This window comes from Homo sapiens, chromosome 8, assembly GCF_000001405.40.
Source record: "Homo sapiens chromosome 8, GRCh38.p14 Primary Assembly".
NCBI classification, from domain to species: Eukaryota; Metazoa; Chordata; class Mammalia; order Primates; family Hominidae; genus Homo; species Homo sapiens.
In genome coordinates this window covers 98,368,550-98,394,823 of record NC_000008.11, presented here as the reverse complement: position 1 = coordinate 98,394,823, position 26,274 = coordinate 98,368,550, and the positions used below count along the sequence as shown (strand labels likewise).

At 42.3% G+C, this 26,274-nt stretch overlaps 1 protein-coding gene and 1 non-coding gene across 4 annotated transcripts in view, besides 5 other annotated features; both read left to right on the top strand.

The window, feature by feature from the left end:
* STK3 (serine/threonine kinase 3) overlaps positions 1-26,274 on the top strand; it is a 598,636-nt gene that overhangs the window by 547,787 nt on the left and 24,575 nt on the right. For 2 of the 3 annotated variants that reach the window (XR_007060753.1, XR_007060752.1), the window contains exon 12: positions 6,577-6,632. Coding sequence is in view for 1 of the 3 variants with exons in the window: in XM_047422133.1 (XP_047278089.1) it covers positions 6,577-6,581 (5 nt within the window). In the remaining 2 variants the exon portion in view is untranslated. Of the gene's footprint in view, positions 1-6,576; positions 6,946-26,274 lie in introns of those variants that run through there. The other variant, XM_047422133.1, reaches the window with a different exon arrangement.
* MIR9903 (microRNA 9903) lies at positions 1,086-1,179 on the top strand. The gene has a single exon (NR_162095.1). It is a non-coding gene; the product is annotated as a microRNA 9903 (primary transcript).
* Positions 9,453-10,120: an enhancer, noted in NCBI's record as "OCT4-NANOG-H3K27ac hESC enhancer chr8:99396932-99397599 (GRCh37/hg19 assembly coordinates)". NCBI's record gives its function as "activates a minimal SCP1, AML or CMV promoter by ChIP-STARR-seq in naive H9 embryonic stem cells {active_cell/tissue: H9 hESC(naive)}" and the evidence as "EXISTENCE:reporter gene assay evidence [ECO:0000049][PMID:30033119]".
* Positions 11,421-12,038: an enhancer, noted in NCBI's record as "H3K27ac-H3K4me1 hESC enhancer chr8:99395014-99395631 (GRCh37/hg19 assembly coordinates)". NCBI's record gives its function as "activates a minimal SCP1, AML or CMV promoter by ChIP-STARR-seq in naive H9 embryonic stem cells {active_cell/tissue: H9 hESC(naive)}" and the evidence as "EXISTENCE:reporter gene assay evidence [ECO:0000049][PMID:30033119]".
* Positions 11,421-12,163: a biological region, named in NCBI's record as "Sharpr-MPRA regulatory region 12621".
* Positions 11,869-12,163: a silencer, noted in NCBI's record as "tiled region #12621; HepG2 Repressive non-DNase unmatched - State 4:PromP". NCBI's record gives its function as "represses a minimal TATA promoter and a strong SV40 promoter by Sharpr-MPRA in HepG2 cells {active_cell/tissue: HepG2}" and the evidence as "EXISTENCE:reporter gene assay evidence [ECO:0000049][PMID:27701403]".
* Positions 11,869-12,163: an enhancer, noted in NCBI's record as "tiled region #12621; K562 Activating DNase matched - State 5:Enh". NCBI's record gives its function as "activates a minimal TATA promoter and a strong SV40 promoter by Sharpr-MPRA in K562 cells {active_cell/tissue: K562}" and the evidence as "EXISTENCE:reporter gene assay evidence [ECO:0000049][PMID:27701403]".

Below are 26,274 nucleotides of genomic sequence, written 5' to 3'. Positions count from 1 at the left end.
GAAGGAGAAGAGAACCCAATATAAGTAAGCACCAGACTTCTTTCTTTGCCACAGTAACTTAGTATTTGTTGGTGTGCTCTTCACTTTCTTCATGTGTACAAAGAATATGTGATAAATGCTGCTAGTCTTTGCAGTCATTTCTCAATTTTTATTCTTCTTATCCCCAAAGAATTGGAAATAAAGAATCCTTTGAGGATGAATAAAGTAAACACAATCTACCAATATTTTTTTCACTATTTGGAAGAATTCATGTGTAACAAATCTGCTGAAACTTTCTATTTCTGTTTTATTTTATTTTGTTTTTTTCTAGAGATGGGGTCTTGCTGTGTTGCCCAAGCTGGTCTCAAATTCCTGAACTTACGGGATCCTCCTGCCTTGGCCTCCAAAAGTGCTGGGATGACAAGTGTGAGCCACTGTGCCTGGCTGAAAACTTCCTATTTCTAATGTCTTTTGGAAAGTTACAATCTCTCGTTTGAGTTTAAAAAAAAAAGTTCAATCAGAGTAGCCTTGGATGTAATGTTAAAATTACATAGTCTTTCTGGCTCCAACCACATTGTCTCCATAAGACCTCTAGCCTTTCATCTTTCTCCTAAATATTTCTGGAAGTCCCTGAGATGGTTTTAAGCATGCTTCTCTAGCCACTTCTCTGGGCTCCTGTTTGCTACATTCTCTTCCTGCTTTGGCTCCTCCCACTACTTGAGAGTTCTGAGACTACAGCAACATCTCCCAAGACACAATCTTATCCTGCTGCTCACTCCACCCCCATCCCTTCCTGTCTCTATCCATTGACTGACTGGTACCACTAAAGCCTTGTACTCCAATATCCCAAGAAATGGTAGACAAATAGCTCTCTTAGTGCTTCAGCCTCTACAGTGGCTAGTTAGTGCTATAAAAGAAATGACTCCAGAATTCAGTGGCTTAAAACAATAAGCATTTATTTTGCTTATGATTCTGTAGGTTGACAATTCAGGCTGGAATTAGATGGGCTTCCTCTTGTATCTGTGGCCAGCCATGGGTCAACTTTGCTGACCTTGACTGGATTCTTTCACCTGCCTGGGGTCTCTGTTGGGAGGTAACTGGGCCAACCAGCTCTGGTTCCCCAGCCTACTGGAGGATAAGAGGATATAAAGGTCTCTTATCCTCCAGTAGACTAGGGAGCCAGAGCTGGTAATAAAAGTCCTCTTATCCTCTAGCAGACTAGCTCAGGCTTGTTCAGGTGGTTGGGGCAGGAATCCCAAGCAAAGGGCAGAAGTGTGTGAGGCCTCTTAAGGCCTGGGCTCAGAACTGGCAAACATCACTTGTATTGATTCTATTGGCCTTATTACACTGAAAGTTACAGGACCAGCCCAAAATCAAGGAGATGAGGAGTCCACCTCTTGATGGGAGGAGCTATAAAGTCACATTGCAAAGGGTATGGACACAAGAAGGAGTGAAGGACTATTGCCATATCTGTACCCTTCCAGAGCCTCTCCTTGGAATTGAGGTGGCGATCCATAGGAATTGGGCTGAGGACATTGGAGTGACAGGCCCAGGGTCACTCAGAGTCATCCCTGACTCTGGTACTGGTCTGTAGACCTTGACCATGTTCAGACATGCCAGTACCAGGCAGTGAGCTTAGTCCAAGTTCAACTAAGCCCCAGGAATGTGTGGCTGCTAAAGTTGACCTGGGAAGGGGGCAAGGGACCTTTCAAGAAGCCTCCTGAGTGCTCTCTCCTTCCTAGCCTCCTGCATATTAGTGTCACTTCCTAGAACTGTCAGAGGCAAGTAAGTTGCCCTTGGGTGGACTCCCCCTCAGAGAGAAATGGCTGCAATCTTTGTCTCCTGAGTGTCACTAAGCGAGAGAGGGAGGGAAGAAGAGAGGCCCATCTGAGTGCTAGGTTCTGCCTCCCTTTCTGAACTGAAGGGGGGATCCAGGATACAGCTGAATAACAGGCAAGGGTCATAGTGATGTTTTTCTGTGTGCCAGCTGAAGTGGTTTCTGTGCCTACCTTTCAGTGCCAACCCATGAAGAGGTACTTGGCTTCATGGACAGGAGAAGAAGTGGAAAGCCCCCCTCAAGTGGACAAGATGACCCTACTCAGGAGATGAGTCCTAATTCCAAGTCATATTGGAAGGAGTAGAAACCAGTATCATGTTTCCTCAAGTGACATCAGGCCTCCAGTTTCTCTAGGGATCCCTGGACCCCAAGGGCAGGCATTAGCCACTGATGGGGCAGTCTGAGAAGAGAGGGCCTGCTGGGAATGTCCTAGACTGAGAGTTCCTAGGGCATGGGGTCCCAGAGGACACTGAAATTCTCAAAACTTCTTTTCATCTTGGTATAACATTCAACAGAAGATAAAAATGGGAACAATTCATCTCGGTTTCGGTGGGAGGGGAGCCCAGAGGATCCCCAAGTCAGTGCTGCCTGGGCTGGGCTTTTCTGATGAGGAGCCTCATGCTACCTTTCTTCCTCACTAATATGGGGTATTGTTTAGGATGAAATATGGAAAGAGGTGTAGAAGCAGTTTTAGAAATAGGAAGCATTCCATGAATACAGTATTTTTGTCATCTATTTGTTCATTTATGCCTTGACTACTTCCAAACAATTTGAGGCAGTGTAAAAGATTAATAGGATGAAAATAAGTCCCCAAACGACTATCACAGAACTGCAAGAGAAAGTCAAGTAATAAAAGGCGTGGGAAGAGTCAAATTATATTTTTTTAAAAAAACAGACTCAGAAAGATTTCTTTTATTGAGTATAACATTTAGTTCTTGGGGGATAAGAGGAGAGATAGACAGGTATGGAGATGACTAATGTTTACTAAGCACTTCCTATGTGTCAGACACTGCAATTAGATTGTGTGAACTAAATCATGTTTTCTGAGTTTTTCAGTAACTGGGATAAAAAGGGGGAACTATCAGTTTCATAAAATAAATCTGTAGAAATTCATCAGGAAACTACCTTTACCTGACTTTGAGTTCTAAGATGAGTCTTTAGGCACATCTTCAGAGGCACATATTGAAGAATGTCCTCTAAAACCATTCTATTGTGTCCCGGTTCTAGTTAAGATGGAGTAAGCACACTCTACCCTGTCTCTCCCAGTGAAATGCAGCTAAAAACCTGGAAAGACTGCACGAGATGCTATGCAAGGACGCTCAAGAGCAAATAGTAATAGGCAGATTGGAGAAAAAGGCACAAATTTGGTGTACCATTAAACTGGTGGTGAGTTTACTTTTTCCCTCCAGCTTGGACTTGAAGGTGGGTACAGTTGTGGGAGGTGCACAGCAGAGTAGGGTGACCAAAGCCCAGCTTTCTGACCAGAGAACTGCAAAGGGGAGCCCCAAGGAGTGGACAAGTAACAGAGAGATCGTGGAGAAGGAGACTCATGGGAAGTGACCGCATAAAGGTGTTTATGAGCTGCATGTCTCATCCCTGAGCTGCACATGTGTGGATCTGATCCCCAACAGCAGAGAAACACTAACAGATAGACCATTGCCCAGGTCCCAGACTAAACACTAGGGGAAGAACCTAGGGGCAGAACTGAATGGCACTGCAAAGACTTTGAATTTGAAAACAGAATTGACACTGGAACTACAGCCCACAGAAGGCAGGTTGGAAAGTGAGGCCTGAGCTTAACCAGGTTCATTGCCTGCTAAGACAAAAATAGCAACATCCTTCATAGAATTTAAGCAAGACACAAAGTCTCATAGTCTAATAATCAAAATGTCCAGGATACAATTCAAAATTACTTGGCACATAAAAAAACAGACAAATCTCAACTTGCATGGGAAAAAGCAGTCAACGGATGCCAATGCTTAGATGACACAGAGTTAGAATTATCTGACAAAGAGTTCAGAGCAGCTATAATAAAAATAATCCAAAAGTAAGGGTGAATTTGCTTCACATGAATAGAAAGAATAGAAGGTCTTAACAAGGAAATAGAAAATATAAAGAGAACAAAATGGAAATTTTAGAATGTAGAAATGTAATCATAACCAAAATAAAACACATGGGATGGACTCACTAGCAAAACTGAGTGACAGAGGAAAGAGTCAATGAACTTAAAGATAAATAAATAACCATGACCTAATCTAAAAAACAGAGAAAAAACCCATAGTGAATACAGATTTAGAGACCTATCACACAGCACCAAAAAGTCTGACATTTAAGTCATCAGAGACCCAGAAAGGAAGGAGACAAAGTGCATTGCTGGAAAAAAACAAAAAACAAAAAAAAACTTGAAGAAATAATGCCTGAAAAATTATCAAATTTGGTGAAAGACATAAACCTACAGATTCAAGAAATTGAATGAATCCCAAACAGAATCAGCCCAAAGAAATCCATACCCAGCCACTTCATAATCAAATGGCTAAAAACTAAAGACAGAGAGAATCTTGAAAATAATTAGAGAAAAACAACATACTACTTATAGTGGTATAATTCCAATGCTTGAGGACTTCTCATCAGAAACCCTGGAGGCAAAAACAAAGTGGCACAACATTTTTCAAGTGCTGAAAGAAAAGAACTGTCATTCCAGAATTCTATATCCAATGAAAATATGCTTCAGGAATGAAGGTTAAAATAAAAACATTCTGTGAATCAGAATAAAGAAAACTAAGAGAATTTGTTGCCAGTGGACATGCTCAAAAAGAATTGCTAAGGAAGTTCTTCAGACAGATGAAAAATTATACCAGATGAAAACTTGGAACACTGAGAATGGAGGAAAAGCAACAGAAATGGTAAATGACTGGAAACAGTTTATTGAAAATGCAAAGGTATTCCAATTTTGGCCAATTTTACATCAGCCCTGAGGGTACTCCAAGGGCACATGTTAACCGCAGTTCTAAAACTCAGTGCTGTGGGGAAAGGGGGGCTCATGCAGAAAGTGAGATCATGTCAAATCACATCCCTCCTCTGCTCAGTCGCATCCCATCTCATGGACACTTCATAGTTTAGCTGTCCGGTTCTTCTCCCTCCTTCTGGTGGCTTTGGCTCATTTGGGGAGGCAACAATTCCTCTTCCTGTCTCTAACACATAATCCAAATAGAAGCTTCATCTCACTTCCTGGCTTTGGTGGTTGGTCTAGGGGTGGCCACTAGATCAAGCCAGACCAATCAGAGTTCTCTAGGACTCTTGAATTGGAACTAAGCAGGGAGATATGTGACAGGAAGCTGTCCACAGGTATGCTTGCTGTCACATGGAAAGGTTTGTCTGCATGCAGTCATAGGGAATGAGATGACAGCCAGTCCTGCACCCCAATCCCTGGTAGCAGTCATCCTTCAGGGCTAGCACCACCCATGCCCTTCCTGTAATTTGATTATGTGAACTTGTTAATTTGTCTTCAGTTAAGCTACACTGAGTTGTGTTTTCGTGACTGTTAAGAGTTCTGAATAATTTTTTATTTGAAGCTTTAGCTATCTTGTAATTAAGCATTGTGCTAGACTTCTGGTGGAGGGGAGAATTGATAAAGAACAGAGAGTCCCTGTTGTCGAGAGTCCTTCAGTTTAGTTGGGAAGAGAATTTACCCAGAAATGTCATTTCGGAGTGCCAAGTGAGCATTACAGACAATATGGGCTATGAAAAGAAAAGGGAAAAAATTGCTGTGGGCTGAAGTGATTCAAAATGTTTTCATGGAGAAGGTGAAACAGGCTGGAGGTAAAAGGAAAGGTGAGACATCCATAGGATGACAAGAGAGAGGAGAATATTCTGAGTAAGGGGAAATCACTTGAACAAAGGCAGACAATCAGCCATGCTTGAGAGAATCATGGAGCTCAGTCATGGGAGGTGGCTTATATGGTTTATAAAGTGCTCTCATATTCATCATCTCATATTTTCACAATGACTTAACAAGGTGGTATATTATGATGTTCCCACTTCACAGATGGTTCTGAGCCATTCAATGACTTTCTCAGTAATGTAAGTGGCAGATCTAGAACTTAAATCAGATGTTTTTGTTCAAGTGAAAGATGTTGAATGTCAGGTCAGAAAGTAAATTTTTCATTATAATGGCAAAGGACATCAGCTAATATTTGACAACAATTTCTTAATATTGTCAACTAGTCAATCAGCAAATTATCTAGTCTTTTAAAATTTTTTGACGTTTGACTCAAGATCCAAACAAGGTTCACAAATTGAATTTAGTTGGTAAGTCCTCCAAGTTGCTTTTAAAATTTCTAGATTCCCTTCCCCTTTTTTCTTGCAAGTTATTTGAAATATTCTGGATTTTACAGACTTCATCCCAATAGTATCAATTACATATTCTTTTATCTCTTGTATTTCCTGGAAACCATGATTAGATCTTGGGGCTTGATTAGATTCAGGTTCATTTTTAGAAGAATACTTCATAAGTGGTGGTGTGTGCTGCCAAATACATCGCATTAGAAGACATGCAATGTTTGGTCATCTCTCTTTTCATCATCTTAACATTGATCATTGGGTTCAAGTATTGTCAGCATGATCCATTCATTATGAAGTCTCCCATCAGTTATTCACCTAAGGGTTTTAGCAGCCATTGATATCATTGCCTAGTTCCATTATAACAGTGGGGGCTACAATATGATGACAGTCTAATTCTATCATTCTTTCTTCATTTATAGGCTAGAATTCTCCCATAAAGACCATTTGCACATCAACTATTTGGCTACCTGAAAAGGTAAAATAGATGCTTCTTTCCCTTTATTTGTAAGTTTTCAGAATACTGAAGTAGTTATCTAGCATATTCCAAAGGTAACTGATTAGTTTGTTTTATTATTATTATAGACTCAGGTATTTTAATATTTTTGATATGTTTCAATGCATTGCAATTACTGTTCATTTCAGTGCTCAAATTGTCCCATTTTGATCAATGGGAACCCCTTCAGGTAGTTTCTGGGTCATTTTGTTGTGATTGCCATAGTCTTTGCTATCTTTCTTGGTTTCCAGACTTACCTTGAATATTCCTGCTCCGTATCTGACAAAAAAAAAAAAAAAAGGGCATTTTACAAAGAGCTCTGGTTTCTTTTTCTGGGAAGTAGTATTTAGAGACAACAATCTGGGCCCTGGGGTGCTCACCGTTACTAGGTAGGTTGTTGTCTCTAGGTCTTTTATTTATTTATTTTTATTTGACATGGAGTTTCGCTCTTGTTGCCCAGGCTGGAGTGCAATGGCACAATCTCCACAACCTCTGCCTCCCAGGTTCAAGCGATTCTCCTGCCTCAGCCTCCTGAGTAGCTGGGATTACAGGCATGCACCATCATGCCTGGCTAATTTTGTATTTTTAGTAGAGACGGGGTTTCTCCATGTTGGTCAGGCTGGTCTCCAACTCCCGACCTCAGGTGATCTGCCTGCCTTGGTCTCCCGAAGTGCTGGGGTTACAGGCGTAAGCCACCACGCCCAGTGTCTCTAGGTCTTTTAATCAGAGAAGGGAAATACTTTTTATTTTAAAGAGAAAATACATCATGGACTCATGCTTAGGTTTCCAATTCAAGTTTAAAATGACGTGGCTTTTACTTAGCTTCTGTGACTTTATATTTGTATCTATTTTCTCTTATTCTGAAAATCCTTGGTCCTAAAGTGAATAACTTATGTGCTTTGTTCTACTACACATATATTTTAGAATAACAATAGAAACATTATTATTAACAATGTAACTGAAAAAACCGCTTTGTATTTCTATGCAAGATTTTTTTTAATCTTTATGTCATATCTTACTAGGGTTATATAATCAAATTACTGTATTTTAAAGTCACTTGAAATAACTATTCCCTATGTAAGTAAGTCACCAAATTGATACACAGTTAGGCTTGTTTTATTTATTTTCCATTTTTAAGAATTGCATTTTCCTAATTAATTTTTGTTTTATAATTATGTAAAGCATTTACATATTTTTTGTTTGTTTGTTCGTTTTTGAGACAGGGTCTCGCCCTGTTCCCCAGGCTGCAGTGCAGTGGTACAATCTCGGCTCACAGTAACCTCCACCTCCGGGGTTCGTGCAATTCTTCTGCCTCAGCCTTGCGCACCACCACACCTGGTTAATTTTTGTATTTTTAGTAGAGACGGGGTTTCACCATGTTTGCCAGGCCGGTCTTCAACTCCTGACCTCAGGTGATATACCCACTGTGGCCTCCCAAAGTGCTGGGATTACAGACGTAAGCCACCATGCCCGCTGGCATTTACATAGTTTTAAGGTAAAAGTCTATAAAACAAGGTACATTGAGGGAAGTCTTGCTTGCATCCCTGGCTTTTCTGTTTTATTTCCTACTTCCTTTATATATAACCACTATTAGTTTTTGTTATCCTGCGTTTAAAAAATATATAACCAATATGTATATATAATCTAATAATCTCACCTTTCTCAGGTAAAATACTTCCCTATAAACAGTATTCTCTGCCTTTCCCCACTTTTAATAGTATGTTCTTAAAATCACTTCATAGTGGTATATAGAAATATTTCTCATTCCTTTTTATAGCTGCATAGTAATCTATTATGTATTTCAGTAATAATAAACTCCATCATTTACTCAACCAGTTTCCTACTGATAGGCATTTGGGTTGCTTTCAATTCTTTGCTATTATAACTAGTGCTGCAATTAATTGTCTTGTGCACATATCCCTTCATACTTTTGTCAATATTTCTTTGGTATAGATTCTTGCAAGTAGATGGACTTGTTCAAATGGCAAATATATATATCATTTTAGTAGGTATCGATAAATTTCTTTCTATAGGGGTTGTAATATTTTCCATTTCCAATTGCAATATACTGAGTGCCTGCTTCCCCACTGCCTACCTAACAGAGTATATTGTCAAACTTTCAGAGCTTTGCTTGAAAAATGGCATTTTGGTGTAATGCTATTTTTCGTCTTTCTTATTACTCTCAATTTAAAGTTTTAATCCCCTAACACATCTCTTGGCTCATTGCAACTGTTCAATAATTATTCTCTGAACCCATGAAAGCATGAAGTGGCACTGGAAGAAGATTAATCCAGCCACAGAATACACAATCATTTGGAATACGGGGAGAAGAGGCAAGGAGCGCTGGTGAATTTCAGGACCCAAACTCAGGCCATAAAAATAGTGACTTGATTTTTCTACAATTCCTAAATATTTTCTCTTTTTCAGGGTGTGGGGGGCACACATTTAATCTCTGTCTGTTCAGATTTTGCTGCATCTCCCCCCGCCCACTGAAGTTGTGTCTGAATTCCAGGCTCTTGGAGCAGGGCTACAGTGACGGACGGGGGCACTGCGAAGGGGAGTCAGGTTCCTGGTCATCATTTGCCCATTCAGGCACCAGCTGAGACGCCCTCCTTCCTGGAGGTCCTCAGTCATTGAGGCAAGGAGGTTGCAGCTGTGTGTGGCTTCCACTTTCATCCGGGGTCTTTCTTCGGTTGGCCCTTAGTTCTTTCAGGCCTTTCTCGTGAACTTAAGGACATCTGGCTGTTCTCTGTCACCACTTAGGGACCAGAGGAGACTCTGGGAGGACATTTAAAGTCTTATTTCCCGGACACCCCATGTAGCCATTTCTACTGCTCAGCTCTTGGGCTGTGCTGAGTTCCTTCACAGAAAATGGGACTTGTTTCCTTTGCTTTGAATTGCACGACCTCCCCCCGACCCCCACTCAAACCCCTCTGCCACCCACCCTCCAAATCTATCTAGGGCTCAGCCCAGGTGTGGGAGGAAGGCACAACAGGGTTTCTTCTCGGGGACCCATCAAACCTTTTACACCTTCCCCAGTGCCCAGCTTGGGAAATATTTCTCTCCTGGGGAAAAGGGGTATGATGAAAACTGATGACTGGCTTTTGAAATTCAAAAACCAAGAACTTGACTGCCTTTAACAACCCTCCCTTGAAGCAATGGATGGATGCCTGCTGTGTGGGAGGGCCATAAGGTGAAAGAAAGGAATGTGGAGGAGGGACTCAGCTAATTTCCAAATGTTATCCCGGTTACACCAGTTAAGAGCATATAGCAATGGCCCAGGTATGACGTGATGAGAGGTGGAATGAGATATTGGCTAGGGTTTGGGGCTGATTATTGAAGGAGGAAAGCAGAAAGGATTCAAGAATGATGCTGGGATCTGGAGCTGCCCAAGCAGAAGAATGATAGTGCAAGTGGCAGACATGGGGCCAGCAGGAGGGTGGGCACCCTGATTCTGGGAGGAAGATTGAGAACTTGGCTTTAGGCTTGGGTGAGGTGTAGAGGTGATCATCAAATCCATGAAAGGGCCTGAGATCCCTTCTTTCTGGAAGATGAGACAGAGAGAGTTGCTGAAGTTTCAGGACTGAGCCTTGGAAACTTCCCCATGTAGGAGGTAGGAAGAAAAAGAGGATGGTTCACAGAGGCCAAGTCTTTGTATTACTGGATGGAAGGTCTTGACAGTGAGTTGTCCAGGTTCTTGGAGTGTTAAACAAAGAGTTGAATAAATAATTGAACAAAACGCAGAAACAAATCAACGAAAGAACGAAGCAATGAAAGACAAAGCAACAAAAGAATGGAGTAAGAAAGCACACTCCACAAAGTGGAAGCAGGCTGGGACAAGCAGCTCAAGAGCCCCTATTGCAATGGTCTTTAGGGTTTTTATTAGGCTAAAAGAATTTGGTTACACCCCTAGGTGTCCTTTAGAAGCCTCCAGTTGGTTACACCTTATGAAGGATTGGCCTGTGACCAGAGGTAGTGGAGACTTGGCTCACAGCCAATCAGAGGCCAAAGTGGAAACGTCTTATTATCACATGAGTGAGGATGTGGCCTGTATGGTGCCTAATCTTGCCTAGAACTGGCTGCACCTGCTGTTCTTTTGCTTATGCCTTAACCCTTGGTTACCCTAAATCTCTATTCTCCTGCCTCATTTGCTGGGCCAAGCCACATGTGAATGTGTCTTTCTTCTAACGATGTGGTCTCACCTGGATATGTGGGAGGAGAATCCATCTTAGAGCATCTCATTAATACACTAGCCTGGTCTATATGTGCATTTGATGACCATCTGTTGCCCTGGAAGGCAACATCTGCACTGATCATTCAAAATTGTACATCCTTGGGAATATCTGAGACTGTACGTTTTTCCTCCTGTAGATACAGATGTTCCTAGAAGTAAGGTTGGTTTTACTTTAAAGCAAAAAACATTCACTACACACCTAATATGCACAGAGCACAACATGGTACAACTACGTGGTACAGAATTTTTAAACTGCTGGCTTATGGGCTATATCTGACCCAGTGACTTCTGTTGTTTAGCCCACATAGTGTTTGTTTTGTTTTGCTTTGCTTTGCTTTTACTTTTAACTAGTTACCCAAATTTTAAAATCAGGACGTTTCACCTAGAAATGTGGATCTCAGGCTATTCTTAAAAAATCCATTTGGCCACGGTGAGCCAGTATTCACAAGAGGCAAAATCAGCTCGAAGGTTGGAGCAGCTGCTCCCTCAGACAGACATGCACCTGCTATTCTATAATAGATCCTGCCTGTTCCATGTCTCTCATTTATACATCTAGTCTGACACCTGTGAGCCCTGATGTCTGAAATGCCTGGCTTGAGGATTCAATGCATGGGCTTTCATAAAACACAGGCTCAAATCTTGACTTGGCCACCTACTGGCGACTTTGGGCAAGTTATTTGACCTCTTGAAGCTTGCCTCCCTATCTGTAGAATGACAATGAAAAGAATTGCCTATCTCCCAGGACAAGGAGCACAGAAGACAAGTAGAAATTGCTCAGCAAATGGCAGTTATTGCTGTTAAGGATGAATGAGACAAACTCCCTGCTGACAAGATTCTAACCCTTCGAAGCAAGTAAGAACACAGGCACCTGTGAGCCAAGGCAGAATGGGCTCTGTTAGGGGGAGGCTAGGAGCAGGCAGAGCCCTCACGCTGTGGCACAGAGAAGGTTCCCAGAGTAAGGAGGGGACCTTGGGGCCTGGATTTCTTTCCTCTTCTGTGGGAGGCAGGCGGCCCAGCTGCGGCCTGCCTGGACTTTGAAACGCTGCCATGCAGGACGGAGCCCAAGCCCTGGGAAGGCTGGTCCCCACCCCAGCCGGCCGCCTCTTTGCTGGGATTCCAGGAACCGGCCGTATCAGTTGGGCCCAGTTTCAGGAATCGGGTTTCTTGCCTTTTCCCCTCAGTCATGTGGCCGCTGGAGTGGACGGTGCAGGCAGGAATGTGATGAGCTGTCAGGCCGCTTTCCAGGCAGGGGAGTGGGAGTATTTCAGATGGGGAATCTGGTTAGAATGTGGGGATACCAGGCAGACCCCACCTCATGGAGCAGCCCGGGCAGGTCTCTCAAGTCTGAGAGCTAAAAAAGCAGGCTCCCCCCGCCTCCAATCTTAGAACACAGACCACCCCTGGCAAGACTTGTTTCTGGGCTGGAGGAGACAGCCTGAGAGAACAAGGAAGGCTTTTTCTCTCACCACCCTGGGGCTGGGAATGTCTCCTCTGACCTCCTCTGCCTTCTGGGACCCTGGGCTGGGAAGGAAGTGTGCCTTTTAAACAAAATGTTATGTACACTGCGATAATTTAGAATGCTGCTCATCAGCAAACGTCAAAATCATGTGCATTTGTGTGGAAGACCTTTCTTCTAAAGAACTCCAAAAATAGGCAAATGGAGCACCAGGTTCACTTTCCAGGCCTGCTTCTCAGGCAGGGAGAAGCATATCTGCTGCTGATAAAACAAGAGACGCAGAAGGCCAGCCTGCTGCACAGAGCCAGGAAGGGTCACCGTGGCAGTGTGTCTCCACCCAGGGCTCCTGCCCCAGTCTGCACTCAGCTCCCCAGCCCACCACCTCCTAGGTCCCCAACTATTTTTCTTTGAAAAGGATGGAGGTCCTTCCCCTTTAGAGTGAGGTAAATAAAACAATCTCTTGGGCACAAAATTTAAGTGGGGGGAGGTGACAAAAAACTCAACACTCAAGATAAATAATATTTTAATGCAATTTAATTTTAAAAAGCAAAATGAATGGAAAAATCTATGATGTACAAAATATCAAACTTTGAAATAAAGGTAGGATCCAGCCATGTATCTACATGACCACCTCATTCACCTTCATTGGCCTCAAGTTTGCTGCAAGCACCATCCCCAGAGCCTGGGTAGAGGGCAGGGAGCACTGGGCTGGATCCTATTCTGCTGCTTAACAACTGGTTGACTTTAGGTTAAGTGAGTGAAACTTTTTTAGCCTCCATGTACTCATCTGTAAAATGGGGACAGTAACACCTACCTCAAAAGGTGTGAGAGTTAAGTGACGGACAATAGACAAAATGCCCAGCACAGAGCTGTAGCCATTCCCTAAGAACTGACTCCCAACCCTGTGGTTTCCCACCAGGCTTTTTCTCCCGAACCTCACAGGAGACATTGCGGACTAGAATTAATCTGCTCTATCCCCTAACCCAAGTGCCTGCACCTGGCAAATGAGTCACGTATGTCTGTTTAATGCCCGGATTAAATATGGAAAAGGAAATTGATCCAGAGCTATCAATTAAATGATCAGTGAAGTGAATCTACAGTTAAGATTGAAAGAAGTGGTAGGAGCCCCATCACAGGGTGGAAATGCAGATCTCAGGGCCCCTGGAGTAAAAATGTGGGTCAACAAAATGGTAAAATTAAAATACACACAATAGACCACATGTGGTGGCTCACACCTGTAATCCCAGCACTTTGGGAGGCTGAGGCAGGTGGATCACCTGAGGTCAGGAGTTTGAGACCAGCCTGGCCAACGTGGTGAAACCCCGTCTCTACTAAAAATACAAAAATTAGCCGGACATGGTGGTGGGCATCTGTAGTCCTAGCTACTCAGGAGGCTTAGGCAAGAGAATCACTTGAACCTGGGAGGTGGAGGTTGCAGTGAGCCGAGATTGCGCCATTGCACTCCAGCCTGGGAAAAAGGAGTGAAACTATCTCAAAAAAAAAAAAAAAAAAAAAAAAAAGGAGAGAGAGAAATTAATTAATTAAAATAAAATAAACACAACAACCTGAGGGAAGTATTTGGAACTTATGTGATAGAAAGAAGATTGACTTTCTTGTTATAAGATAACCTACAAGAAAATGATAAAGAATACCCAATGAGAACATGAACAACAGACATAAACAGGTAATTTACAAATGAAGAAATGCAAAGGACCCAAAATCCCATGAAAGCATGCTCAACTTTTCTAATAATCAAAGAAATGCAAATTTTTCATGGATTAAACTATCACCTTTTTAAAAAGTTACAATTTCTGGTACTAGTGAGGGTCTGAGGAAAACAGGTAATCCATACATTGCTGAAAGAAGAGTAAATAGGATTTTTCTGGAGGCCAACTTGAATACAAAGTTTTTAAAATGTGCAGACTCTGACTCAGAAATAGCATTCCTCGAAATAACATCTATTCTAAGGTAATAATAGATGTGAGAAAAAATGTTAGTTTCAGCAAAGAATTGCTTAACAGGACGCTGAACATCACTTGAGTGTCCTACAATAGAGGATTTTTTAAAAGTTTATAAAAAGGTAAGTAGATGACATCAAAGTGTTATCGGTGGTTATCTCTGGGTAATAAGATTGTGAGCTGTATTTTCTATTTTTTGCTTTTCCTTTTTAAAATTTATTTTATTGTGGTAAGAACACTTAACATGATTTCTATCCCCGTAATAAGTGTACAATACATTATTGTTGACTGTGGGTACAGAGGAACGTAGAGCGTATTCACCTTGCTTAACTGAAAACTTACACCTGTTAATTAGTAACTCCACATCTGCACCACCCCCTAACCCTACCCAGCTTCAGGTAACCACCATTTTTTGACTCTATGAATTTGACTATTTTAGATACCTCATAAAGTGGAATCACACAGTATTTGTCATTCTTTGATTTGTTTGTTTCTCTTAGCATGGTGTCCTCAAGATTCATCCATGTTGTCCCATATTGTGAAATTTCCTCCTTTATTAAGGCTAAACAATATTACATTGTATGTAATTACCACATTTTCTTCATCCATTCCTCTGTTTACGGACATCTGTGTTGTTTCCATATCTTTGCTATTGTGGATAGTGCTGCAATGAACATGGGAGTTCTAGCATCTCTTCAAGATCCCGATTTCAATTCTTTTGGATAAATACCCAGAAGTGGGATTGCTGGATCATATGGTAGTTCTATTTTGCTTTTCTGTGTATTTCCAATTTTCTACAATGAACACATGTTGCCTTTTATAATAATTTTGTTTTAAGAATGAAAGATCTCAAGGGTCTGATTATCCTGGGGAGGAGAGTGTGCTGTGGGTGACCCTGCACCTGTGACTTCTGGATCTGCTGTGTCCGGTCCTCTAGTCCCTGAGCACTTGAAGAAGGAGTGGGGTTGGGGAGGATTCCAAGCTGCACCACAGGTCATTGCAAACCAAGATGGTCAGCACAGTGTGGGAGCAATCTGTGAGCCTGGTGTAGGTTTCTGCAACATTTGGCTGATTTGAAGTAACAATAAAGAACAAAGTTTTTGAGTGGAGTGATTGCATTATCTAATACTACAGAGCCTGAAAAGAAACGTGCTAATAATTGTTTTAAGCTAATTATTCTGTAAAGGTCAAATAGTGCTTGTGAACTTTAGCTGCTATACTTAGGGCACTTAAGCAAACAGATCAGTCCGTTGTTGGGAGTATAATAAATCAACTTTTGAGTTTAACATATTTTCACGAAGGTTATTTTTCCTTGCAGGAGCTTTTCAGCCACTGAGAATTCAGAGCCTTTAATGATTCTGGAGACCTCTTAGGTATTAACCCTTGAATTGCTTGGCTTACCCAAACCATGCTTCCCCTAACCCCCATCTGAGCTAGGTGAGAAGCAGATTATCTGAGACCGACATCAAGTGAACCCACAGACCTGGGATCCTTGGTGCCTCCAGCAGCCAAGGCTTGGAACTTCCTGGGACCCTGGGTCTGCCCTAGCTTCCTCCCCACCCCAAACACCACAGGGTTCTCAGTGGGGTTTTCATACTATTAATTATTTCTGAGCTTTGAAAGGATTGCAAAAGGCCCATGGGGATCAAGGAGGCCAAAGCCCATCTGGTGAAGAGATGCTTCATGATGAGGGAGGGGCCATGTGGAGAGTTGTGTTTTGTAGGCAGGACAGATATTTGCAGGTGATGCTGGATCAGTGGTGTTTGCATCCTGGGCCCTTCCAATATGAAAGCAGCCAGAGAAGGGACTGGAGCCTGAAATTAATAATAATCATGATGATGATAAGGAAGCGGGGAGGAAGAGAAGGCGGAGAGGAGGTTGATAAAAACAGCTATCATTTATTCACACGTATTCACACTGTGTATCAGGCAGTATGTTAAGTGCTTTGCACACATTCCTCATATACTCACAATCCAAATACTATTCTTTTATCCATCCTAGAGATGAGGAAATCAAAGCTTAGGAAATGTAAATAATTTGCCCAAGTCACACAGACAGTAAGCAGCACAGTTACAGTATAAGCCCAGATCTGTGTGACTCTGAGACCTAAGTCTTAACCACCGAATGACATTGATCCTGAAACGTATAGGATAAAGCTAGTAGAAAGAGAGGCAAGTAGAGTGTTCTGAGGCATTTAAAAAGGTGACAAAGTAACTCTTCAAGAAGCCAAGTGCTGGAGGTCTTTGTTCAGCTCTTGACTGTAGAGAAAGGTGGATGCTTGCAAAGGAACAGACCTCAGGGTGATGTCTTAGCTGGATGTGAATGGGGCTGTGGGGTCAGTTCCTCGGTTCCCCCGTAACCTCTTGCCATCTAAATCCATTGTTTCCTAAATGAGTTCAGTGAAACACAACTCATTCTTAAACCCGTGTTCTCTCTGAAGCTGTCTTGCTTCTTTTCCTCCTCTCTCCTCTGGATCTGAAGGAGATATGACTGTATGTGGCACTGCTGGAGACACCTCTTGAAGTCAACTGGGCACCTGGCAGGTAGGGGCAGAGCCTCTACTCTTATGTCCCTGCATTCACGGCTTCCCCACAAGAGGCAGGAGAGAGCAGTGGAGCTTCAACCTTACTAGCTGCTAAAGAAACACGTTTCCCTCCCTGAGGCCTGCAGTATCCACATTCTGCAAAGCCTCGACTACAGGGGAGTGGCTGAGGCTGGAAGTCCCTGAGACTCACACCTTGTCCATGTCCCTGCTGATTACCACCAAGAGGCTGGAACTGCCCCAGCCTGAGAAAGCAAGAAGCAGCTCTCAGGATGGCAGAGTTGGGTGTGGGCCTTTAAACCTATTGGCCCATAAGAGGGAAGTGCCCCAAATTACTTTTTCCAGTGCTCACAGTGCTGGATGGTTTAACAGGACACAGAAGTTGTGCATGAGGTTTTTTTTTCTTATATTTTCAATGAATGTTTTTAGTATAATTATTATGAAAATTTATAATATATTTGTCTTTAATTAGACATTTACTATTAATATTATAATAATAATTCAATAATTCAATTCAGAAGAAAATGTTTAACATTTGGAACTTTATGGTTCCTAAAAATAATGTATTGAAATTTCTATTTGGCTGCAAATAAATATTACAGAGTTAATATAAAAACTTCCATGCATAAAATAAATTACATAAAATTTAAATTCTGCCGAAGAAGTGAAATTCAAATATAAAATCAAGGGGAAAAAGAATTAATATAAGATTCTGACTCCTAACAAATAGCAATGTTGATGCATTTTTTAAATGGGTGCTGGTGAGTATCATATCACCTTATTGGATGAGAGGTGCTGGGAGGGAAGGTAGATAAGGTTAAGGGGAATTGATTGCTGTGTTCATTAACATGGCTAGGCTAGGCCTCACTGAGAAGTTGATGTCTAAAATGACAGCATTAGCAGATATCTGGAAGAAGAGTCTTCCAGGTAATGCAAGGCCCTGAAAGAGGGAAGGAACGTGCCCAGCATGTTCAAGGAACACCAAAGAGCCCAGTGTGGTGAGACTGGCAAAAGAAAGAAGGAAAAGATGTCAATGGTAAAAGTTTATTTTTCAAAGTTAAGGAATCAACAAGCAAAATAGGTTGAAGATCATTGAGTCATATGTTATAAAACATGGTGTTATGAGACATTTAACCCAGGTTCCTGGCTACCGGTTACATCTATTCCTCACAAATCATACACTCTCACCCAAGTTAATTGCAAGCAATTGGATGTTGGATATTTTTTAAGAGATATTTCACTCTTAAGTTATAAACATACGTTTTCCATTGAACTCTAAATATCTTTGTACTGGGAGGGAAGTTAAGTAACGTACATTCTCTTCCCTTTAGAGTAGATGGAACAATTGGATATCTATATGCAAAAGCTGAATCTCCATCTAAACATCAGCCCTTAAGCAAAAATTAACTCAGAACATAAATCTAAATGCAATGCATAAACTAAAAAATTTTGAGAAGGAAACATAGGAAAAAATCTATGCGACCTTGGGTTTGGCAATGAGCCCTTAGACATGGTATTAAAATATAATCTTTTTTATAAATGATGAGTTGGACTTCATCAAAATTGAAAACTTGTGCTCTGAGACAGACACAGCTAAGAGAACAAAAAGCCAAACTACAGACTAGGAGAAAATATTTGCAAATCACGCATCTGACAAAGGACTTGTATCCAGAATATAGAAGGAATTCTCAAAACTCAACAGTAAGACAGCAAACAACCCAGTTTTAAAATGGGCAAAAGACATTAACAGACATTTCACCAAAGTGGAAATAAAAATGACAAATACACACATGTAAAGATGCTTGATAAAATTAGCCATTAGGGAAATACAAATTAAAACCACTACAAGATACCACTACAACCCCTGTTAGAATGTCTCTAGAAATATATACTGATAGCACCAAGTGCTGACAAGGATATGGAACAACTAAAATGCTCATACATTGCTGGTGGGAATGCAAAATGGGATAGCCCCAGTGAAAAGTTGTTTCACAGTTTTTCATGAAGTTAAACATATACTTACATCCCAATAACCCCACCCCTGTGTATCTACTCCAGAGAAATAAAAATGTATGCATACACAAAAACCTATACATGAATATTTATAATATCATATAATAAGTACCTTTATTTATAATTGTCCCAACCTGAAAACAAACCAAATGTCCTCCAGTAGATGAAAGAAGGACATCTGTGTTGCATCTATAATCCATACAATGGAAGAGTTTTCAGTAATGAAAAGGAATGGGCTTTTGGTACATGCAACAACTTGGGTGAATGCAAAGATACTATGTTGAGTAAAAAAAAAAAGTTGCAAAAGGGTACATAGTACATGATTCCATTGACATGACATTCTTGAAAAGACAAAATTATTAGAATGGAGAATAGATCAGTGGTTTCCAGGGATTAAGGCCTGGGGAAGCAGTGACTATAAAGGAAGGGCACAGCAGGGCTTTTACAGGTGATGAAACAGTTCAGTATCCTGATTATAGTAGTATTAAATGAATCTGTATGTTAAAATTCTACTCTACAAAAGGGTCTCCAAGAAAGGATCAGTTTTTAAATAATTTGGAATTTTCTAGGTAGATATTCATGCCATCTCTGAAGACAGAGAGTTTTATCTATTCCTTTCCAACCTGTATGCCTTCCATTTCTTTTTCTTGTCTTATTGCACTAGCTAAGTATAATAGGTTTTTTTTTTTGTTTTTTTTTGTTTTTTTTTTGTTTTGGAAACAGCTTCTTGCTCTCTCACTCAGGCTGGAGTACAGTAGCATGATAATGGCTCACTGCAGCCTCAACCTCCTGGGCTCAGGCAATCCTCCCATCTCAGCCTCCCAAGTAGCAGGGACTACAGGCATGAGCCACCATGCCTGGCTAATAGTTTTTTTTTTTGTTGTTTGTTTTTTTGTAGACACAGGGTCTCACTATGTTGCCCAGGCTATTTTTGAACTCCTCGGCTCCAGTGATCCTCCCACCTTGGCCTCCCAAAGTGCTGGGATTACAGGTGTGAGCCATCATGCCCAGCCTAATAATTTTGAAAATAAAAAAATTTAAGGTATGTAATAGGGTCTTCCTGCCACCCTGACCTCCATTTATTCCATTCCTACCAACCTTCTCTAGCCCCTCTAGCTTCTCATGTATCCTTCCAGAGTATCTTTATGTATATACAAGGAAATCTGGATATTATTTTCATTTTCTCCTGCATTCTCATGAAATGTAGTTTACACAGTACTTATTTTACTTAATATATCCTGAGTTCTTCCCACATCCATGGTAGAGAGCTAAATTCTAGGAGAAGGTTTAGTTGCAGCCTTGGATCTGTTTTAGCTGATGTTTTTCACACACTGCATGCAAAATTCCTGAGGAAGAAGCATTTGCTCTCCAGGACTGACTGCACCCAAAGGCAGGAAGGATCTATTTACTAAAGTGTTTAGCCAGGTACACAGTGCACATAGTCCACTGCCATGTGCAGGGCTAAGCTACTGCCAGAAATCAATGTTCACATTTGAACTAATGTTTCAGACTGCCTGGCTTATCTGGTGAATGTTTGTAGAATAAATGGGTTGGAAGGGAACTCGGGCACTCTATCTAATGCCTGGGCCTTGGCTTTCCATTCTGTAAAGCCACCAGATATGAGTGGTTGGTACCTGGACTGTTGGCTTAGACAGACGGCCTCTTTCCATGGCCAGATCAGCTTAGCTCACCTGTACCCACCCCTCAGTTGTTCAGACCAGACAGCCTGCATCTCTGCCATGCTTCTCCCAGGATGCTTTTTCATTCCAGTGCTTGATCTTCACTGATCCTCAACCTTCTGCACTTTCTAAAACCTGTAAAACGTTCCCTTCATCACGCTTCTGAAATATAATACAAACGTTTGCTTCACATAAACTCTTGATCAAGCCTCGACAAGAATGCTACTGTTTTCACACTTCTCCATTGTGGGTGGGTATCTAGATTTTAGATTCTAGACTGATCATTCCATTTCAGATCTAGAAAAACAGAGGCCTCCATAAATCAGCAATATGCAATGGGAGGAGACAGTGTGGTATGGTGGAAAGATGGAAAGAATATAGGTTTTGGAGTCCAATATTCAAAATCTGAGATTAAATCCCATCTCTGCTACTTACTAGTTGTGTGACTTCGGCAAGCCACTTAGGTTTTCTGATCCTGTTTCCTCATCTATAAAACTCCTGTGTGGTCATAAGGATGACAGGATAAGTTATATAAGACATTCACAAAAAAAAGGAAAGAAAAGAAGCAGATATTACCTTTTGTGTCTTTGGGCAGAAGGAATTTCTACCACCTTCCTCCAGCGGTGAGGCAGCATGGTGAAGCGACATGGTCAGGCAAGCTGACTGCCTGGGTTCAGTCCTGGGTCCATTACAGTGTGACTTGGGGCAAGTTAATTATCTCTCTAGGCCTCAGTTTTTAATCTAAAAACTGGCATGAAAATAGTACCTGCCTTACACAGTTGTGATGATCCAGTAAGAACATTTAGCTCAATGCCCAGCACACACATGTTCAATAGACATTATCAGGAATGTAAGAGAATAAGCCAGACCATAAGTAAATGTCATGACTGATGACATTTCATTGGCCAAACCAAGTCATGTAGAAAGCACACTCTGCCCACGGTGGGAGGAAATGCACTTTACATGGAAAAGAATGTGGATCTAGAATCCTGTTACAGGAGGGTAGAGATTGGGGAAAAGATCCAATCATCTGGCTCGGACACAGAAGGAGATGTTAAGGGCACTGATATGGCTCAAAAACAGAAACTCATAAACAGCAATCACAAAAAAAGCAAGAATAATAACTGCCATTTATGGAGCACCAACTCTGGTGGGAGGGGCTGTTCTCAAATAATCACAATATAGGCTGGGCAGACCCAACGAATTTCCTTCCCCTCATCTGACTCTCTCTGTCTTTCCCCTCCTACAGTGCTTTAATTCATGGTGAAATTCCATTTCAGGGAAGTTAATTATAAAGAAGAAATAATAGCAACCATTATAACCAGAGTAAGACTGATAATATTTATCAGTTACTTCATGCACATTATCTCATTCAATTCTCATCATAACCTCAGGGCATGGTGTTATTTTTCTCACATTGTAAATGAGGACACCAGGCTTAGAGACCAAGCGCTTTCCCAAAGCCACGCAGCTGGAAGGGAGCAGCGCTAGACTGTGAATTGTTAGAGTTCACAACCCATGCTCTTCTCATTATCCTGCTCTGCCTCCTCCTGGTGCACAGCACAAAGTCTCCAGAGCCTCTGTTCCCCAGACTGAAGCGGAGCCAATGTTCTGGACCCTCTGCCTACAATGTGGAAGTGGATAAATAGTAGCGAGGATGTTGGTGCTTATGTTAACAGAAAGCTGTTTGTATTATCTCTCACGTCAGTGAAGGATGTTCAGAGCCAAGAGTTAAGGGGAAAAAAAAAAACAAAAAACCACTGGGTGTTCAGGTAGAAAAGCCTAGGAAAAATAACAACAAAAAACCCCACTGGGCAGAGCTGGGTTTGGAGCTGAAGTCTGCGTCGTCTCACAGGAGTGGGTGGAGGGGCCGGGGAGCTGTGGCGTCCTGGCTGTTGGAGTCTGCGGGCCTCCCCAGCTGATGGCTGAGGCATAAGGCTCTGGAACTTGGAGGCTGCCCTGAAGAGCCCTCTGCATTAGTTTCCCAGGGTTCCTTAACAAAGTACTGCAAACTGAGTGGCTTAAAGCAACAGAAATGGATTCTCCCACAGTTCTGGAGGCTAAAAGTCTGAAATGAAGGTGTCAGCAAGCCATGTTCCCTCTAAGACCCAGAGTCTGAGACTCTTTCCTTGCCTTTGCCTAGCTTCTGATGGCAGCTGGCAATCCTTCATATTCCATGCCTTGCAACTGCATTACTCCAACCTCTGCCTCTGTCTTCACATGGTGTTCTCCCTGTGTGGGTGTCTGTGTCCACATTTCCCTCATCTTAAAAGGGCACTAGTCATATTCGGTTTAAGGACCCCCCTCCCCCTGATCCCACTCAGTATGACTTTATCTTAACTTGATTAGATCTGCAAAGACCATATTTCCAAATAAGGTCACTTTCCACTGGTACTAGGGGTTCAGACTTCAACACGCAATTTGGGGAGAGACAATTCAAGCCATAACACCACCATGTCCTATGTCCTAGGACTTGGTATAGGGTAAAAGTACTGTCTCATGTGGCCCTAGAGCCCTCAATGCAACTGAGACGAAGGTTCCAGCAGTGGCCCTTAGACAAGTTAAAAAGCATAATCTTGAGGGGTCAGCCTCTAAAGTTCTGTTCTCCTGCAGGTGTGGGGACTATCCCTAGCTTTGTGACTGAAGACTTGCCAGGTCCTGGAAGCATCTGGGAAGTGTTTTGGTTGAGGAGAGTTGAATGTTTGAAGAAGAAAATATCAGAGTGACATTCCTGCTGCTGGCTCCCCTCTGATGTACCGCCCTTGTGCTTTCTCCTACTGCACTTGCGATCCAGCAGCCTACAAAGAACATGTGCTTTCGAATGAAAGCCCTGCTCCAGCACTCACTAGCTAGTTAACCTTAGGAGTATTATTTCAAAGCTCTTGGAGCCTCGGTTTTCCTCATCTGTTAAAATGGGACCATAAATACTTAACTCAGTGTTGTGAGAGTGAAATTATGTTATGTACAGGGAAGTACACATAGCAAGTATTTGATATGTGTTAATTTCTCTTTCTCGTCCTTACTGGATGGGATCAGAGGGATGGATAAACCAGTTACCACTTCACCAGTTCGGCAAATGTTTATTGAGCACCTACTACACAAGTGGCTTTAGGCTGGGCCCTGGGGATGCAATGAATAACAAGATCAAGTCTTGTCCTGCAGGCACAAACAACCATGTAACAATGTAGTAAGTTTTGTTTCTTTTCTGTCCTGGGTGCTCCTCTGGGACCTTCAACATCCTAGGAACATTTTGGGTCCAGTGGTCTGAGATCTTACCAGAGCTCCCAATCTCTTTCCTAAAATATAGTGTAAGTGTTAAGTGCCTACTCTAGGCAAAGTCTTTCACATATAATACCCCTACATTTTACAATATTTTGTATGGTCCTAGCATCTGCATTTTTCAGGTGAGGAAACTGAGACTCGGGTGTAAAGAAAACAACCAAAGATCATCCAGATGGGATTTAACCTGACTTGTTTGGATCCCAAGACCTCATCTCCTTGATACCATTTACAATTTCAAAACTGTGACTCTAAGTAGACAAGCTTACATTTTATCTGGCTCTGAACCTTATGCAAAGGGAAGCTGGTTCCAAGAACAAGAGAGGTAATGTCAGCATTCCTGGATGATGTGGGCCCCTGAGTCCAGCTCAGAAGGCTGGCACACATTTGTGCTGACACCCCACTGTGTCTTCTTGGTTTTAGTCCTACTCATCCTTGGGTTTATGTGCACTTGCTGAGTAGCCGGGAGATGATGGTCCTTACCTATGGAGCTACCACCCAGTCCTCTCTAGCATATTTCGGCTTTTCAGGCATAAGATGAGTCTGTTCTGATTAAGATGCCCAGTCATTTCATTATGCAAGACTCTGAAGCTTGGGATCAGTGTTAAAGCCAGTGTTCTCTAAGGATACACACACACACACACACACACACACACACACACACACACACTGCAGAGGTCAGGGGGTCTGTGGAGTTAGGATATATTTTTAACAGGCCTCTCTAGTTCCTAAAAGAATGAAAGTTCCTGGTCCACTGGCCTGAGAATGCTGAAGTCACTTCAGCCCCCACCCAACAAACATTAAAGACCTGGGAGGCCCAGGGTTCCCGGGGGCTACTGGTGTTAGGGAGAGGCTTGATGGGCCTTAGAGACAAACTGGATCTGTTGCTGCTTCCCAGCTTGTAAAAAAAAAAAAAAAAAAAAATCAAAATCCCATTTTTGATGTCTGACTGTGAGGCCCCATCCATCCCACCCCTTCTGCCCCATATCTGTGCAGGTGGGTGAGAATGCCTGGGCTCACCTTCCTTTAGCACTAGCAGGAATTGAAGCCACACAACACATAAACCTTTGCCCACACGCAGGAACCCTCACCCCATCCCCACACCATAGGCACCATGAAAGCCCAAGCCACATTTCAGATGTGCTTGGGAGCTTGCCCTGCTCTCCCTAGAAAACCTCATTACTTGAGCAATAAACCTTTTTAATACCCTCTTGGTGCATGGGTGGTGTCATCAGTCTTAACATTTGAACAAAATTTTGGGTGGGGGTACTTCCCGTCTCCATGGAGTGACTCAACAGAGCCTCTTGTTTTATCACTGAGGCCTGCACTGCTCTAACATGTCTAGAATTCCTTCTGATTTCTTTATTGGGCCCCTCCTCCTCCCTGCAAGGGAGCTCCCAGTGCAAGGCAGACCCTCATCACAATTGTAGGGCACATGAAACTTATTTTCTGGAATCCCAGGCCTGCCCTTTGTTTTTTTCCCCTTCAGGACATTCATCTTACATCCTCCAGCTGCTAAACCACCTAGCCTTCTGCCCAGCCTTCACACTCACCTCCCCTGAACCCCCGTATTAAAAATACACAAAAAAAGATCCAAAAAACTCCCTCCTACCAAGGCCTTAAATGACTGCTGAATCTTAATACATTGCTTTTGTGGGGAGAAGATCCTTAATAGTAAAAGAACTTAGTTGCTAATGGTAGCGTTTTAGGCTTCAGCAATAGGATAGGCATCTATGTAATTAGGGTCCTAACTCCCAAATACCTTCCCCTTCAACTCACCAGCTGCAATTATGCAATTAGGGCTTCACTCCTTTGGTTCAAAGCTTCATTCTGTTAAAAGGTAATTCTTCCTCCTGCTTTAGTAATTGATACTTAGTGGGCACACAATTATCACATCCTTTCCTGAGGACAGAATATTAGGGGGAAGGGATGGAGATTAAGAGGATATTTGGCAATCAAGGGAGCAGAAAACTTCCACTGGAGAAGGGTTGCAGGACCCAGCAGGAATAGCGAGAGAGTTGGAAATTCTGGTACATCCTCATTTCCAGGGATCTCAGACATGTCCAGTGATGCAAAGTACAATAGGAGCTTGACCTAGAGAATGTTAGTTATGCCAGTGCCCTTGAGGCCATCAGCCCCAACCTCACTCTTTCACAGATGAAGAGCTCAATGTTCCGAGAAGGCCTACGTAAGGTCACCAAGTTACAGCCAGGACCAGGGCTGGAAATCAGGTCTGCTGCCTCCAAGATGGCACCATCAGATGTGATGGCACCATCACAGTTCATCTGTGACAAACAATCAAGCATGATAATTGTGAGTTCCTTTGCTGTTACATTACTGGAACTTACCTTCATTCTGACACGCTTTTGTGAATGCAGGAGACATAGGTTTGGTTGCAGCTGCCATTCCCTAGATTTGACCTAACCTAACCCTGGACATGTCCATGGAGGTGTGGGTGCATAT